This window comes from Homo sapiens, assembly GCF_000001405.40.
Source record: "Homo sapiens chromosome 16 unlocalized genomic scaffold, GRCh38.p14 Primary Assembly HSCHR16_RANDOM_CTG1".
Taxonomy (NCBI): Eukaryota; Metazoa; Chordata; class Mammalia; order Primates; family Hominidae; genus Homo; species Homo sapiens.
In genome coordinates, this window is record NT_187383.1 from 993,181 (window position 1) to 1,011,055 (window position 17,875).

A 17,875-nucleotide genomic window follows, 5' to 3' on the forward strand; every position below is an offset into this window, starting at 1 on the left:
TTCTTGTGTATCTGTTTTCAAGAAATTGCATTGGTATACTATCATAGCTTTTTTTGTCTCTCAGATTTTCTATTGTAATTATTTATATTTATGCATTTGGAAATATTTCATGATTGTTACATAAAACAGCAGAGCTCTTTTAGAAAGTTTTCATGGTTTCCCAAATGTACAATCATATAGATTATTTAGTAGTTATTACATAATGATCTTTGGAGCAATAAATGCTGTTATATAAGAACAATTCCCAAATGTAATTTGAAAGTTATAAGCTAGGCTTTGACGGCCTAGAATTAATGTACCTTTATAATTCTAATCCGCATGCAAATTTAAGAAGACCACGGATTGAGGACTGGGTGTATAATTTTCAGGGCCCAGTAAAAAGTGAAAATGTAGAACCCTTTGATAAAAAATTACAAAGAATTTCAAGATGACCATAATAGGCCATGCACAAGGCCTTTCTAAATGGGTAGAGTGATCATGAAGCCATGGGCATTGTTTTGTTTTATTTAATCTTACTGTTTGGTTGTAAAGCAGATCTTTAAATCAAGAGAAAAAAAGAATGCCAAAGAACATCTCAATCAAAATGTTTTAAACATTATAGAAGATTAGATCCATATAAATGAAAGGGATAAAGAAAAAGCACATATCCAACCTCAAATATAAAGCATGGAATTCTTATGTGAACTCCATTATAGCACTTGATATTTCAGCTCTATTTTCATTTTTGAACAACTCTAGATATATCTATATATTTTAGTCTAAAATTTAATTTTTATAAGTTCTAAGTTCTTCCCCAAATTCTACCTTAGATAAACAATTCAGAGATACCTGTGTTTCCTATTCTATTAGGTGGAACCATATGAAATTGTCAGTATTCAGCCTTTTCTGTCCTACAAAAAAATGACAGCTTTGTGTTTCCACCTAACACATGGCAGCCCAATAAATATGTGACAGTCAGGACCATAGAGCTACCACACTAAACAATACTAAATGCATACACATACCCTTTCCAAAACCCTGGCAGGTCTTCTTTTCCCCAAAAGAATCATTCTTTGACTCTTCACCCATTATTCATGTGAGAAATTTTCCAGGCCCGTCAACATGTCAGTTGAGTGACTGTAACAATTAGATCTATCGATTCTCCTCTCACAATTTGACATTCTTTATTGAAAAGCATGATCTAAATGTTGACTAATAGTCTGCAGAGTGAAACATGTTTACTAGTTCCCATGACCTAAAACAGTGTAAAACCATGATTCAAAAATTTCTTTTCTTAAAAACTTCTAAACAATATGTCTGCCGGGATAAACTGGTGCAATTTCTATGTGGAACCTAAAGAATTTCAATGACACATTTTCATCCTTATTGCTGTTAAATAATCCCTTCAATAGTGCCCCATCTTCTGTACTCCTTCATACGATTTTCTATCTTATTATTTTCCATCATTCTTTCTGTTACAACTATAATAGTTTCTTTGGAGAAACTATAGATTTTCCCACTTCAGAGGCATTTCTGCATTGAGCTCTCATAAACCTCTCTAACATGGTGGGAAATAGACTCAATAACATTTGTGTATGAATTCAGTTGTGAATTACTTAAGGCTCATCTATAACATCAAAAAGCAACTTGATAAAAACAATTCTATTGAAGATTATATGATCTAAGTATATATAACTTTAGGATGGCTTCGACTGAGACAAAAATAGTATCGATACAGTGTGGAGCAATGAATTTCTAAAATTTTTATCTGCTTAACATTTTTCAACAGCACAATTTATACAGAAGCCCAACATGAGACATTCTTGTTCACATGGAATTTCTCTGCCCGCTTGAGCCCTGTAGAAATACCACAGTGTTGGTAAACAGCAACAGCAACAAGAAGATACTAAGCTTGAATTCTCAGTGGCTCAACCACACCAAAGTTTGTGGGTTGCTCCCATAAAGTTCAATGTCAGTCAGAATAAACTCCTCTATCATTAACCTATGACACACATTGCACGTAACCTTCAAAGTACTGGAAGTGGAAAAGGAGAGAACCTGGGAAGGAGGCAGGGGCTTTTTACTGCCTCAGCCCCAGAGTGATTCATGGCACTTCACCTCAGAGTCTCTTAGATCTTTCCACGTGATCCCAACATAACTGGATGTCTCTGAAATATCTGGGAGGGCATGAAGATTCATTACATGTCTTAGTATTCATTACATGTCTGTTTACAGACTCCATTTTGCTTTCTAAGATGCTCCCTGACTCTTCTCAGAAGCTTTACATAACATGCTATATAAAACACTGATCTAATCAAAATATCACCCTATACCCTATAAATATGTACAATGATGTGTCAATTTAAAAATTAAAGCAAAAAATCCACTGATCTAAAGGGATGATTTCCTCATGCTTCAGGTAATTCTTCATGGAATATTAGTCTCCAATACCAAACTTTTCTTAAGAATTTGGCTGCAAAGAATCCAATAATGTATTTTCAGAAAGAGATTGGAATGCCACAATCTTGTGCATCAACAAAAGAGTGTGTCCCTTTTTGACATTTGGGTCTCTGCGTGACTTCTGACAGAAAGGACAGGCTCAGAGGACACATGGGCATGTCCAAAATTTAATTTCTAAAAGGCTTCTCGATCTGCCCTAATGAAGACATGAGTCTAGAAAGTTTCTGACCTCCAGAGCACAGACAGTGCTTCTTCGGGGAAATTATAGATTTTCCCACTTCAGAGGCATTTCTGCATTGAGCTCTCATAAACCTAACATGGTGGGCAAGTTGGTATTTCAGTCCTTCACATTTAGCTCTGAGTTTAGTACTTGATGGATTTTAAATTAAGTTTCTTTGACATGAAATGAAATCTTCAGCTGCCTGTTAGTTCCAAAGCAGGCCCTCAAGCTCAACACATTAAAAAATTAGTCGTTTCCTCAGAATCTTGTTCTTCCTTCAGAGTTTCCAATTTTTGTTACAGATACCACCTGTCAGACAGTCATTTGGGCTTAACATTTTAAAGTCTGTTCTGGGTCTTCCACATTCATTATTCTCTACAGTCAATCACATTCCAAGGATTGTTGCCTCCAATGCATGCCTTTTTCTCAGTTTTATTTTCTCCCATCAGAGTCATGCACAGATTAGCTCTCAAGTGAGCTATTATAATGGCCTCCTAGCATCTAAACTCTCTTTTTCCAATTGATAGTTCTGCCAGAGTTGTCTTCTTAAAGCAGAGGTTAGACCGCATTTCTCTAAGTAAATTCCAACGACACCAAAATAGTGATTCTTAATAAGTATTACAAGTAGGGAAATACAGATGGGAGAGTTTCCTTGGTAAATAAGTTCATAAAATCTAGGTTAAACAATGTTAAATGGGGTTTGCTTTTTGCTGTTGCTTTGTTAATGTGCATTTGAAATTTCTAAAGTGGCATTACATATCCATAATTTCCCTTATCTGTTTGACAAAGGAATCTGGTTTGTTTAGAAGCATTTTTTCAGAACTTCTATAGGTCAACCTTTCAGAAATTCCTCATTATCAACAGTCAAATACAGATGTATTTTCTTTGGCTCTCGCAACAGGCTTAGAGGAATTTCTAGTCTGTTCTTGTGACGTTTCATTATATGCATCTTTTGCTCAGGCCTGTTAAACCTACTCAACGTGTGTATCTTCTACTCCATGTCTTTATTCTTACTGTTGTCTTAACATGAAATCCTTGCAACCCAATTCATAGTTTTTGTTCTTTGGAAAAATCCAGATTATGTATCATCAATACATATTTTTTCTCTATTGAGATTTTCCTGTTTTTATGTATCACAGCCAGAAGTAATCACTGCATAGAGTATTTCTGCAGAAAGATGGAAGAGTTCTATTTTAACACAATATTTACTATACACCCAGCAAAGGTCTAGGTATTTATAGATACTATTTTATATATTCATCCCATCAATGCTATGAAGAAATATTAATAAACCCATTATATATGCTAAAAGGTAGCGACACATATATGCCACATGTGCAGGTTTTCTCAGGTATTATTAGCTAGGGAAGCTGTGTTGTAACAGTCTTCAAAAACTTCCTTCTATTGTTTACATGCTATTCCACATCATTTTGTTTTCATTTCTTTTGTAGTATCTAATGTATTCTACTAAAAAAAAAGTACAGAAGTTGGAAAACTCTTGTGAAAAAACATATATTACATATATACTATTCTTCATGATGCTCAAAATTTTCATCATTATTAACATTTTGTATATATGTGTGTGTGTGTGTGTGTGTATGTATGCGTGTTAGATATATAATTTAAAAGAAAACAATAAGTTGGTGGCTTATGGCATATTGTTCCTTAAGTCCTGCATTTGAAACACACTGAGTGAATCAGCACATTTGATCATCTTTTAACTACAGTAGATGATTATACATTAAAAATGCATTAACCATCCAAATACATCTTTTTTAATTATTTATTTATTTATTTATTTTTATTTATTTTGAGACGGAGTCTTGTTCTGTTTGTTGCCCAGGCTGGAGTGCAGTGGCGTGATCTCGGCTCATTGCAAGCTCCGCCGTGACCTTGGACATATCCCTAATATTTTCAAGCCTCAGTTTCTCGTCTTTAAAATTAGAATAAAGATACCAAACTCCTGGGGTTTTGTGAGAATAAAATGAGACGATGTTTGTAAGAGACTCAGCGCAGTGTCAGTATCTACCATGTGCTATGTACTCTGCGTTTTCTTTCTTTCTTTTTTTTTTTTGAGACGAAGTCTCGCTCTGTCACCCAGGCTGGAGTGCAGTGGCGCTATCTCCGCTCACTGTAAGCTCCGCTTCCCGGGTTCAAGCCATTCTCCTGCTTCAGCCTCCCGAGTAGCTGGGACTACAGGCACCGTCCACCACGCCCGGCTAATTTTTTTTTTTTTTTTTTTTTTTTTTTTTGTATTTTTAGTAGGGACGGGGTTTCGCCGCGTTAGCCAGGATGGTCTCGATCTCCTGACCTCATGATCCGCCCGTCTCGGCCTCCCAAAGTGCTAGGATTACAGGCGTGTGCCACCGCGCCCGGCCCTGCGTTTTCTACTGTGGATGCTACTGAATGTTTTTAGTATTTGCTGTATGTCAAGAGCTCTTCTAATTAAACTCTATGCGTAATGACTCACTTAAAGGTTACTATTATTATCCCTATTGTAAGAAATGGACATTGGGGCACAAAGAGGCTTAGAAACTTGCTCAAGATCACATACCTGGCTGAGCGCGGTGGCTCACACCTGTAATCCCAGGACTTTGGGAAGCCGAGGCAGGCGGATCATGAGGTCAGGAGATCGACACCATCCTGGCTAACACGGTGAAACCCCGTCTCTGTCTGTCTGTCTTTCTCTCATCTCACTCTGTCACCCAGGCTGGAATGCAGTGGCACAATCTCAGCTCACTGTAATGTCTGCCTCCTGGGTTCAAGCGATTCTTCTGCCTCAGCCTCCGGAGTAGCCGGGAGTAGAGGCATGTGCCACCATGCCTGGCTAATTTTTGTATTTTTAGTAGAGATGGGGTTTCACCATGTTGGCCCAGCTGGTCTCAATCCCCTGACCTCTGGTGATCTGCCAGCGTTGGCCTCCCAAATTGCTAGGATTGCCGGTGTGAGCCACCACACCTGGCCTTTATTTCTTTATTTTCTATTGTTTGTTTGCAGTGATAGGATCCCCAATTCAGAAATCAAATAAAGGAAGTATGCCTCCAAGAGGTATTGGAGTAGATAAACTAGATATTACAAAGCCTACAGATTCAGTCTATTAATTTTTAAAAATAAATTATTAATTTATTTATAAACAGTGTGTGTGTGTGTGTATGTGTGTGTGTGTGTGTGTGTGTGTGATGGAGTCTCGCTCTGTCGCCCAGGCTTGAGGGCAGTGGTGCAGTGGCCCGATCTTGGTTCACTGCAACCTCCCCCTACCGGGTTCAAGTGATTCCCCTGCCTCAGCTTCCTAAGTAGCTGGGATTACAGGCACCCGCCACCAGGCCCGGTTAATTTTGTATGTTTAGTGGAGACGGTTTCACCATATTAGCCAGGATGGTCTCAATCGCCTGACCTCGTGATTCGCCCACCTCGGCCTCCCAAAGTGCTGGGATTATAGGTGTGAGCCACCGTGCCCGGCCTATTTAAACAAGTTTTTAAAATAAATTATTGTATTTTAACTTATCATATTCCTTTATTCAGGGAGATAAGTTACTGAGATAACTGGTAGTAGGCAAAGAGAAGAAACAGGGTGAAGTCAGGTTTGTTGGTGGAGGAAAAATGATACTAAAGACTGCCCAACAAATATTCAGAATCCAGAAATGTTCATATTTCTCCATGGTTCAATTTCTCATGGGTCACTTTTCATTACAAGGATTCTGGAGAGCAAATAAGACAGGATTCTCTCAGGTATCAACCCAGTCTTTTTTTTTTTTTTTTTTTTTTGAGACAGAGTCTCGCTCTGTGGCCCAGGCTGGAGTGCAGTGGCGCCATCTTGGCTTACTGCAACCTCTGCCTCCCGGGTTCAAGAGATTGTCCTGCTTCAGCCTCCCGAGTAGCTGGGATTACAGGCCCACGCCACCATGCCTGGCTAATTTTTGTATTTTTGGTAAAGACAGCGTTTCACCATATTGGTCAGGCTGGTCTCGAACTCCTGACCTCAGGTGATCCACCCGCCTCGGCCTCCCAGAGTGCTGGGATTACAGACGTGAGCTACCGTGCCCGGGCCAACCCATAGTCTTTCAGTCTTCTCTCAGCCAAGGCATCCAGTGAAAATACAATTTATTTTTCAGATTCCTCTGGAGAATTAAAAAAGTCTCTTTTGCGGCTGGACATGGTGGCTCACACCTGTAATCTCAGCACTTTGGGAGGCTGAGGTGGGCAGATCACAAGGTCAGGAGATCGAGACCATCCTGGCCATAGCCAACACGGTGAAATCCTGTCTCTACTAAAAATACAAAAATTAGCTGGGTGTGGTGGCACACACCTGTAGTCCCAGCTATGTGGGAGGCTGAGGCAGAAGAATTGCTTGAACCCAGGAGGCGGAGGTTGCAATAAGCCAAGATTGAGCCACTGCACTTGCTCTGGTGACAGAGCAAGACTCCGTCTCAAAAAAAAAAAAAAAGTCTCTTGCATCAAATTGCCATAGTCTCTGCTCTTGGTCCTCTTTTCCATGTACTCATTCTTCAAGGATTTATTTTCTCATTGCCTGATCAAGATCATTGCAATGACCAAAAAATTTTCGGATGCTGTGATTTTTGTAATATTCCTTTAAAAAGTTAATCATGATGTTGCGTTCTTCAGTGTGCAAGTGTGGAGATGTCAGGATGCCTCTTTAAGACAAGATGATGGGTCACAGCAGTGCCATACCACTCACAGCCACACCAGGAGAGCTGAAGGGGCAGTCACCAACGAAGATGCCCGACCCAGAAGTTGGCTGCCAGGGAGCCAAAAGCCAGGTCACTCCACAGGTGGCCAATGCCTGGGGGAGCCCTCCACCGCCCAAGCTTATTATTATTATTATTATTTTGAGATGGAGTCTGGCTCTGTCTCCCAGGCTGGAGTGCAGTAGCACGATCTTGGTTCACTGCAACCTCCACCTCGTGGGTTCAAGCAATTCTCCTGCCTCTGCCTCCCGAGTAGCTGGGACCACAGGCACGTGCCACCTCACCTGGCTAATTTTATTTTTTGAACAGACAGGGTATTGTTATGTTGTCCAGGCTGGTCTTGAACTCCTGGGCTCAAACGATCCTCCCGCTTCAGCCTCCCAAAGTGCTGGGACTACAGGTGTGAGCCACACCTGGCCAGGTTCTACTTTTTAATATTTAAAATATCTGAAATAGGCCGGGCACGGCGGCTCACACCTGTAATCCCAGAACTTTGGTAGGCTGAGGCGGGCGGATCACCAGAGGTCAGCAGTTTGTGATGAAACTCCGTTCCTACTGAAAATACAAAAATTAGCCGGGTGGGTGGCAGATGCCTGTAATCCCAGCTACTCGGAAAGCTGAGGCACCTAAACCCGGGAGGTGGAGGTTGCAGTGAGCTGATATCATGCCACTGCAGTCCAGCCTCCGCGACGCAATGAGACTGTCTCAAAAAAAAAAAAAAAAAAAAAAAAAGATGGTGTCAGTGATTTCTGCTACATCAGCTCTGGAGGCACTCCGTACCTGATTGCTCCACTTTTAGTGGTGCTAAATTCAAATAATTCAGCTGGTGAGAAACTGACTCCCGTGGGAGTGCGGGCGTGCGTGCGTGCCGCGGAAATCCCGCCTTCCGGCGCCGGCGGTTGGCCCTGGCTGCAGTGGGTGAGCTCCAAGTAGGAAGATAAACGGGATTGCAGGAAGCGGGAGAGTCAGGAGGAGCAGGGAAGGGCTCCTCTTCCCCATTGGCTGCGCCCGCGGAGCCGCCTTGCGATTGGCGGTAAGCGCGGGTCGGTGGAGGGGGCGGCAGTCCCGCGCGGGCACGCCCCTCGGGTAGCGAGAGGCGTCGGGATCGCGGGCGCCGGCTGAGCCAGCGGCTGCTGGGAGGCTGTGTGCGCACGCCTGCGGGGCGAGGAGGCCGGGCCCTGCGCCTCAGGTCCTGGCCTGGGGCACCGGGGCGTCCGGCGTCGGAGGCGGTGCGGGGTTGGCGGGCGGCACAAGGGGTGGGGGGGCGGGGGGGGCGTTGCTGCGCGGACCGCCCGCGGCGCAGCCCCCTGCCTCTCTCTATCTCTAAGTGGTGGTGGCTGTGGGTTTTTCTGCAGGTGAGCCTTTTGAGTAATTTGTTTCATGCAGGCGCCCTGCTGTTGGGTAAAGCGGCAGATTCACGCTGCTGTCATTTGTCGTTCAAACGATGGGCTTCCTGGCAGGGCGCGGTGGCTCAAGCCTGTAATCCCAGCACTTTGGGAGGCCGAGGCGGGCGGATCATGAAGTCAGGAGATCGAGATCATCCTGGCTAACATGGTGAAACCCCGTCTCTACTGAAAATACAAAAAAAAAAAATTAGTCGGGCTGGTGGCGGGCGCTGGTACTCCAGGCTACTCGGGAGGCTGAGGCAGGAGAATGGCATGAACCCGGGAGGCGGAGCTTGCAGTGAACTGAGATCCCGCCACTGCACTCCAGCCTGGGCGACAGAGGGAGACTCCATCTCAAACAAAACAAAACAAAAAATGATGGGCTTCCTGTCATGTGTGTGTGTACCTTTTGGATTTGAGGGCAGGGGTATGACATTGTGATTTGGCCTCCTGTGACAGTCCATTCTCAAGGTCTCGCCAGCGTGGTGCAGAAACCCGGCATACCTTGCCTATCTAGGAAGGAGGCTTTCCCTTCCCCACCTCCCTCTCCCTCCATCTCTTCCCTCTATCTCTCTTTCCTCTTCATTCCCTTCCCCGAGCTCTTCTCTCCCATCTTTCTGTTCTTTTTTTTCTGCATTAAACTTTTCGGGAGTGTCTTTGTAAAATATTAAAAAGCGTTAGGTCTTCAACATGTATGTTTACTTGCAGGCCTGAGAACTGGGAGGAAGCTGGAGAAAAGATGCCCTCTGAATATTTGTGTTTGGCTGCCCAGGCTCGCCTTGACTCCAAATGGTTGAAAACAGATATACAGGTGGGGTTTGACATGTCTCTTTCTTGGTGTATTTCTGCTTCCATGTTTAAATTTCTCGTGTAAGTCTTTTTTTTTTTAGGGTATGTAAGGGGAAGTCAGTTGTTTCTTGCTATAGTAGAGGAGCAGGTTTGTTTCCTGTAACTTAAAATGTAACAGTCTTTATGGCTGTTTTTGTAGATCGTGCACGGCTGCCTTTTAATTAGTTTCTTGCAAGTGCACGAAACTTGAGATCTATGAATAGGCAAAATTTTTTTCCTATTTTTTTATTACTGGTTAAGAAATCTGCCACACTCCTAACCATATGATGGTGACTGTTATTTGTTACTGATAGTTTTTGAGCTGTTTAGTTAACTGTGCAGGGGAAAGTTGGAGAAGTAAGTTGCAGTAATTATGGCCAATAGAAACGCACTCATTTTATGAGGTCTTGTGTTTGTGTTTTTGGAGAGACAAGAGTTAGTTCAGTCGAGGTGTTTGTTTTGTATTTGTATGCAATACAAGGTCTAAGGACAATTGTGTTGAAACTGAGGTCATGATGTTGGAATCTTAAGGGCTGAAGGTTCCAAATAAATGGTATATATAGAATTCTCTCTGACTCGAAATTGTCCCTTTCTGGACCTCCGGATGCTGAGGCTAAGAATGTCCATATGATAGGGCCTTCCATGACAGGAGTCAGCAATCTTTTTTTTTTTTTTTTTCTTTCACGTATCTGTAATTCATTCTGTATATTTTAAAAAGTTTTAAGCTCTCTTCCTAGCCCTAGTATTTGTTAATAAATTAAAACATTTCCCAAAGTGTTTTTTTGTGAAACAATAATTCTAAAAGATGCTCTAAGAAAAGCTAAGCACATGGAAAAATCCAAAGTATATGTTTTATTTATTACATTTGATGAATTTGTTGTTTGCTTCTTTTTCCTCTCAAGAGGGAGCCTTGCTGTGTTGCTCAGGCTGGAGTGCAGTGGCATGATCTTGGCTCACTGCAACCTCCGCCTCCCGGGTTCAAGCAGTTCTCTGCCTTAGCCTCCTGAGTAGCTAGGATTACATGCACCCTCCACCACGCCCAGCTAATTTTTGTATTTTTAGTAGAGACGGAGTTTCGCCATATTGGCCAGGCTGGTCTTGAACTCCTGACCTCATGATCCACCTGCCACGGCCTCCCAAAGTGTTAGGATTATAGGCGTGAGCCTCCGCACCCGGCCCACGTTTGATGGATATTTTTGTCCTTTGTTCTTTTAAAAATTGTGGTTAGAAAGCAGAGCATAATTGTTCTTTATGTAGATCCCAACTGATTGGGGTTTTTAGGGAGATTTTTTGGCATTCAGTAAATGTTTTTATTTTCCATTATTAAGACTATGAATATTTTATTTTATTTTCTGAGACAGGGTCTTGCTCTGTTGCCCAGGCTGGAGTACTGTGGCATTATCTTGGCTCACTGCAACCTTTGCCTCCTGGGTTCAAGCAATTCTCCTGCCTCAGCCTCTCAAGCTGCTGGGATTACAGGTGGCTGCCACCATGCTGGGCCAATTTTTGTATTTTTAGTAGAGTTGGAGTTTCACCATGTTGGCCAAGCTTGTCTGAAACTCCTGACCTCAAGTGATCCGCCCGCCTCAGCCTCCCAGCGTGCTGGGATTGTAGGTGTGAGCCACTGCCCTGGCCCATTTTCACTTTTCATTAGCTGCTATTTTCCCCCATTTATTTCCTACCTTTCTGTGTATGATTTCTGAATGAAATGTATTTCATGTCTTAACCTTCTGAATTGTTTGTTCTCTCATTTTCCATGTTGTTAAGGAAAATAAGAGGCTAAGTGAGATGTATTAAATTTGCATATAGTTTCTCAGATCAGGATAAAGGCTCATCTGTTGCAGAACGGGACTCTGCTCTTGCTTCATCCAGGATGCGTTTCCTAGTTCCTTCCTAGAGTGGGGCCACGCCCTGCTCCAGCCTTCCAGACCCAGCTCCCTGCTCTGACATGATTCCACTGGACTGTATTCCAACTGTCCTACCTGGACCTAGATATTTTCTTTGTTTTTTTGTTTGTTTGTTTGTTTTTTGTTTTTGAGATGACGTTTTACTTGGCGGTCCAGGCTGGAGTGCAGTGGCGATCTTGGCTCACTGCAACCTCCGCCTTCCAGGTTTAAGCAATTCTCCTGCCTCAGGCTCCCAAGTAGCTGGGATTACAGGTGCATGCCACCACACCTGGCTAATTTTTGCATTTTTAGTAGAGACGGTGTTTCACCATGTTGGCCAGGCTGGTCTCGAAATCCTGACCTTGTGATCTGCTCGCCTCGGCCTCCCAAAATGCTGGGATTATAGGTGTGAGCCACCGCACCCAGCCAACTTTTTTTTTATTAAAAAACTTACATGAAATTTATTTTATTGTGGTATCTAGTTCAGTAAATTTTGACCCTATAGATTCATTTAACCCCCGCCATCATCAGGATGGAGAAGTTTCATCACCCCAAAAGCTCCCTTAAGGTGCTGCTTTTTATCACATATCCCCTGGCCTCATACCCTGGCAACCACTGATCTGTTCTCCATCAGTATAGGGTATTCTTTTTGAGAATGTCATGTGAGTGGAACCATATTTTAAGTAACGTTTTGAAACCATCTTCATTTACTCCTAGTTATATGTTTGAGATTTATTGTTGTTCTGTGTATTAATAGTTCTTTTTATTGATGAATGGTGTTTCATCATTTGGATGTACCACATTGTGTTTATCCATTCTGCTATTGTAGGACCTTGTGGTTGTTTCCGTTTTTCTTTCACAATTGTAATCCTGCTGTGAGCATTTCTGTACAGATTTTGTGTGAATATAGTTTCCATTTCCCTAGGATAAAGACCTAGTAGTGTGAAAATTGGGTCATGTGCTGAACTGTTTTCCGAAGTGGCTGTTTTAGTTTGCATTCCTGCTGGTAATCTGTCACGTTTCTGTTGCTCTGTGTCTTTGTTAGCACTTGGTGTTATCAGTGTTTTTTAGTTGAGCCATTCTAACACGTCTAGTGGGATCTCATTGTGGTTTAAATTTGCATTTCCATAATGGCTAACAATGCTGAATATCATGTTCTTCTTTGCCACTCTTGTATCCTTTGTGAAGTTTCTGTTCAGATCTTTTGCACAGAAAAAGCTGTATCATGGAACCAGTAAAATAACCAAGGAGAGGTTGATTAAAGTTCTGTTTATAATCCTAGAAGATTCCTGCCTTAGGGATATGGGATGGCTGAACATAAGACACCAACACTGGACAGATGAAATAGCAGTTTATTAGTCACGCATGCTCACAGCCCTGGGGGTGGGGGACACCGCATGTCACACGGGGGCTGCACTTGGGAACAGAGTGAACCACGAGGGGCTGTGGGAGGCACATTTTGTAGTAAGAAGAGGGTGAAATGACCTTGCTTCCGTGGGAAGATGTGATTGGCTTGTTGGAATAACTCTGGACCGGCAGGGATGAGCAGGCTGGGGTCGGGTCTCCGCGATAAGGAGGGTTGTTTGGCTCTGGGATCTTATCCGTGGGAGCAGAGCTTGGAGGAGACCTTGTGGTTAGGCTATTTGAGGCCTTCTTGATTTTACTGACGTCAAGGCAGCACATAATATTTAGTCTTAATTTCAGGCCACACAAGACATTCCTCTGTATCTACTTTCTGTGGCACTTTTCAAAAGGTTTTGTCCTTAGTGTTTAGCAGTTGATTATGATGTGCCTCATCATGGCTTCCTTTGGATTTATCTTGTTTGGGCTTTGCACAGATTCTTCAATCTGCCTAGGTTTCTGTCATTTGCTGAACCTAGGAAGTTTTCAGCTATTAGTTCTTTAGATTTTTTTTCCAGCATTGTACCTTTTCTCTCCTGTTATTAACCTGTGGGGTCTGTGCTAATTCTAGGTAGTTAGTTTCAGAATTGAATTGCATTGTGGGACACATAGCTGGGTGTCGCAAAGAACTGGAGAATTGCTTGGTGCAAAAGTCCATACATTTGGCGTCAGAAGTGTTGTAAACAGAGGAACTGTTTCCTTAGGGATTTTTAGATACTCATTATTTATAATCTGGATGGGATATCATGTCTTTCACCGATTGAGGTACATTTTTCTAATTATGTTGTTTAGACGTTTAGTCACAGCCTTCTGTGATGGACCGTGTTTACACTTCAAGGTTAAGGTTAGTTCTCTCTTCTCTTCGCTTACTATGTCAGGAGTTTTATGACAGTTGTTTTTGACTGAAACGTTACATTGTCAGTGGCCTAAAGTCATTTTTCCCAGCTTTTCCTTTGTGTCCCAGTGCTCTTGAATTATGCTATCAGTGACAGCGCCCCTGCATAGCAGTGCTTGCCAGTTGGCAGTGGAGTAGGGCCTTGGAAAGGGTTAAAAGATTTTTGAATCATACTCCTTTTCTACACCCTCCCTTTTCCCATGGGTACGCAAGCATTGGGACTCAATGGATGGAAGCAATTCGTGTGAAATTGAAGTAGGTAAATATCAAATACTAAGTTTCTCAGTTGTGAAATCTACTAGGAAGTTAATGAAATATCATTTTGGAAGACATGCTTTAAATAATTTGATATATTGGTTTCTTTTCTTTTCTTTTCTTTTCTTTTTTTTTTTCAGATGGAGTCTTGCTCTGTTGCCCAGGCTAGAGTGCAGTGGTGCCATCTCGGCTTACCGCAAGCTCCGCCTCCCGGGTTCACGCCATTGTCCTGCCTCAGCGTCCCGAGTACCTGGAACTATAGGTGTCCACCATCATACCTGGCCAATTTTTTGTATTTTCAGTAGAGACGGGGTTTCACTGTGTCAGCCAAGATGGTCTCCATCTTCTGACCTCGTGATCCACCGGCCTTGGCCTCTTAGAGTGCTGGGATTACAGGCATAAGCCACCACTCCCGGCCGATATATTGGTTTGTTTATGAAAATTATACTGGATCTGTTACAGGTATGATTGATATATTTTATTTTTGAGTTGTCAAACATTCAGTTAATGATGTGTGTTGTAACTTTTCAGGGAGGGACATTTGCAGAGACTGACTAATGGTATGGCATTCTGAAAAGCGGTTACAGATTAAAAAAATTTTAATTCTGCAGATGATAGTGTCAAACCAAGTGGAACAAAGAAAGAAGATCTGGATGACAAAGAGAAAAAAGATGAAACTCCTGCACCTGTATATAGGGCCAAGTCAATTCTGGAGAGCTGGGTATGGGAGTAAGCAACCAGGTAATCTTTGATCAGAGATAGAAATTAGTATAGACATTTTGCCTCCAGATCCTCAGGTGGTTTTAGAAATTGGTTCTCTAATTCTGTAGGAGAAGGTTGATACTGGTATAGGCTTACACGTCATTGAAACTGGAAAAGGTAGCTAGATATTCTTCTACTCATGTTTTGGATAATGAGATATTTTATGCTTCACACACTTGGAGTATGTCATCTACTGTAATACGGTATCTGAATGAATACTTTAAATAAAATACATTTCTGTAAGTTAATTGTATACTTTAAAAATCTCTGAAAAATTTGAGTAGCAAGTCTCAGAAACTTGGTTCTAAATATTAAGAATATATCCTTCCTTGGGAGGGAGCATGTAGTAAACATGTTAGTGTGATTGTAAGCATACTGTCTTTCTGGAGGTCGCTGTGTTCCTGCATCCACTGTTTTCATTTCAGGGATGTTCACGGAACGCCAGACACCAAAAGGCCAGAAGCATGCCCCTGCAGGACCAGCACTTGGCTCTGGCCATCCTGCTGGAGCTGGCTGTGCAGAGAGGCACGCTGAGGTGAGGGCTTGTGCAGAATGGGAACGCTTTGGGGAAACGCCTCTGTATCCAAATACCTGTTGCATTGTGTGCATTTCACTGAATCGTGTTTGACTGCAGCAGAGAGCACCATGTCCCAGAGCTCGCTCTCTCTTTACCTTTTCTTCACTTCCTTTTTTATGCTCAGTTTTCTAGCCTGGGAACTGTTCTTTTTTTTTTTTTTTCTTTCAGTTTTCCTCATTTAATTATTTTTATTCCATGAATTTAAGATCCTAGAACTTCCATGTGAATGTGCTCTTTGAGCTTCTTAACTGGTCTTTCCTATCAGCAGAAGGCGATGACTTGTGCTAAAATCTTAGTGTCAATTCAGTGATTTAATTACCATGGCTTTACTTTCATTTCCTTTCATATCCCAAGTATTGCTTCACTTCTATCTAGCTGTTTGCTTTTATTTTTGATCAACCATGAAAAAAAAAGTTAATCTGTTTTTACTAGGAATAAATGTGTTTTCTCCTTTAGCCAAATGTTGTCTGCCATCCTGTTGTTGCTTCAGCTGTGGGACAGCAGGGCACAGGAAACTGACAATGAGCGTTCTGCCCAGGGCACCAGCACCTTGCTTTTGTCCTTGCTGCAAACGTTCCAGAGCATCATTTGCAGTAAGGATACGCCCCCCTCCGAGGGCAACATGCACGTGAGTGTCATGATGGAACGTTGTGTTTAGGTGGTACTCAAGTCTAGTTATTTTTTACGCAAGACCAGTGTGTGTGTCCACGGCAGTGTTTTTCTCTGGCGTGTGTGTATTTGGTGGTAACAGCAGCGAGTCAGATGAGACAGGTGTGGGAGGCCACTTGTTTGTGGAGAAGACTTGGATCAGTGAGCACCGACTTCCTTGTCAGCACAGAACCAAGCTTGAAACACGCACTTTTAAATCAATACTAGAAAAGAACAACGAAAATAGTGGCTTTCTTTGTTGGCCGTTCCTATGTACTGGGCTCTGTGCAGGGCATGTCATCTGAGCTGTCACTCTGTTTAGTACCAGCTCCCCCCTTAACAGGTGTGGACGCCGAGCTGGGGGAGGAGCAGGCATGTGGGGCCCTGGGCGTAAATCTCCAGGAGTGCTGGTCTTTACAGGTCAAGTACAAGTTGAATTTTGCATCTTTTTGGGAAAGTCTTAGGCATTTCAATATCATGCTTTGGTTTAATTTTTCTATTATTTGTTAGTCTTTAAACTAATGATAATAGGGCTCTTCTGCCTTTAGAAGAATTAGAACTATGATTTAATTTGCAAATGAAAGTAGGTGTTCTCCAGAGTGGGCAATGTTTAGATTAAAATAAAGGTTTTGGTTTTAGATTTCAAGGCCAGCTTGAGATGCTGTTCTGGGTTCCCACAGAGGTGGTTCTGCCTTTCTCCAGGGGTCCTAGGCCTGTAGGGTGGTTTGGTCATGTTAGTAATCTGTGTGGATTCAACTTACCTGTGGTGTCATAAATGTATACATGCACAGTCAATGTTGTGTACATGTGTACAGCACATTTAGACATTTATACAGTCAGTTTGTATGCTACATAAATATATAGATGTATAGTATAACTGTATCATCGACATTGTCATTTGATGGGTCAAATGAGTCAATACCAAAATATAAAGAGTGGGTAAAGGCTAACTGTATTACTTTAATTTTTCCCACCATTTCTGAATGTTTGTTTACCTTTCCTTTCTAGCTTTTGTCTGGCCCTCTGAGCCCCAGTGAGAGTTTCCTGAGGTACCTCACCCTCCACAAGACAACGAGCTTGCCATTGATCTGCAACAAACGGCGGTTGTTGTCATGGCCCATTTAGAAGATCTGGCTACACCCTGTAGATGCCTCTGCCGTGTAGCTGTCCGACGTCTCATAAGGTGTGTGTGCAAGAACCGTGTTCTCCATGGGTTTTGTAGCTAGTACCACTTGTAGGTTCTCATCCTGGGCCCGTGTGGAGACTTGCTTTTTCTGGTATTGGTAGGGGGAGCTGGCCTGTGGTTTTTAAACGTGTTTGCAGTTGAAGGTGTTATCCGTGTTGAGAGTGAATGATGAGCAAGCTGAGGCGCACAGGCCTGGGGACCCAACCTGGGGGCCCAGGTTCCAGGTTCAGGTGGCACAGCCCCAGAGAGCTCCCCTTTAGCCACAGCCCCAGGCCCTCCCACCTTCTACAGAGGGTTCCACAGCCTTCTTTATACTCTGAACGTGGGCTGTCTTAGTATGTAATGCTGGTTATAGTAGTGACAGTATAATTATATATTATATCTGTTATGTAATAGTAATGGTAATAGTAGTGATTTGCATGTGTGGAGCACCTGTAGGGTGCAGGCCCACTGAGGACCTCATGCACGCTGTTGTATCTCATTATGTCAATGAGAAAACTGCCTTTGGGAATGTTAGTGAACTTTGCCAGTGTATAACAGTAATCCTAGTTTTGAATCCAGATTTTTCTAACATTTTATTTCTAGTATGAAGAGTGTTTATTTTGTTTTACAGTCATTAAAAAAAAAAAGAGGAATACAGTCACATGGTTCAAAAATCAAACCTAGGCAGAGACACACTGTCACTTC

The 17,875-nt window shown here is 42.4% G+C and overlaps 1 long non-coding RNA gene and 1 pseudogene across 2 annotated transcripts in view; one reads left to right on the plus strand and one right to left on the minus strand.

Moving 5' to 3' along the window:
- Positions 1-1,727: 1,727 nt before the first annotated feature.
- Positions 1,728-8,278, minus strand: LOC112268315 (uncharacterized). The gene is made up of 2 exons (XR_002958852.1): positions 8,146-8,278; positions 1,728-3,826 (listed from the first exon to the last, which is right to left on the minus strand). It is a non-coding gene; the product is annotated as an uncharacterized LOC112268315 (long non-coding RNA).
- A 171-nt stretch (positions 8,279-8,449) lies between these two features.
- LOC102723753 (HECT and RLD domain containing E3 ubiquitin protein ligase 2 pseudogene) overlaps positions 8,450-17,875 on the plus strand; it is a 35,989-nt pseudogene continuing 26,563 nt past the window's right edge. Inside the window, exons 1-7 of the transcript NR_135178.1 lie at positions 8,450-8,554; positions 9,459-9,561; positions 14,156-14,477; positions 14,627-14,756; positions 15,203-15,312; positions 15,811-15,982; positions 17,011-17,185. The product of NR_135178.1 is annotated as an HECT and RLD domain containing E3 ubiquitin protein ligase 2 pseudogene (transcript). The remainder of the gene's footprint in view (positions 8,555-9,458; positions 9,562-14,155; positions 14,478-14,626; positions 14,757-15,202; positions 15,313-15,810; positions 15,983-17,010; positions 17,186-17,875) is intronic.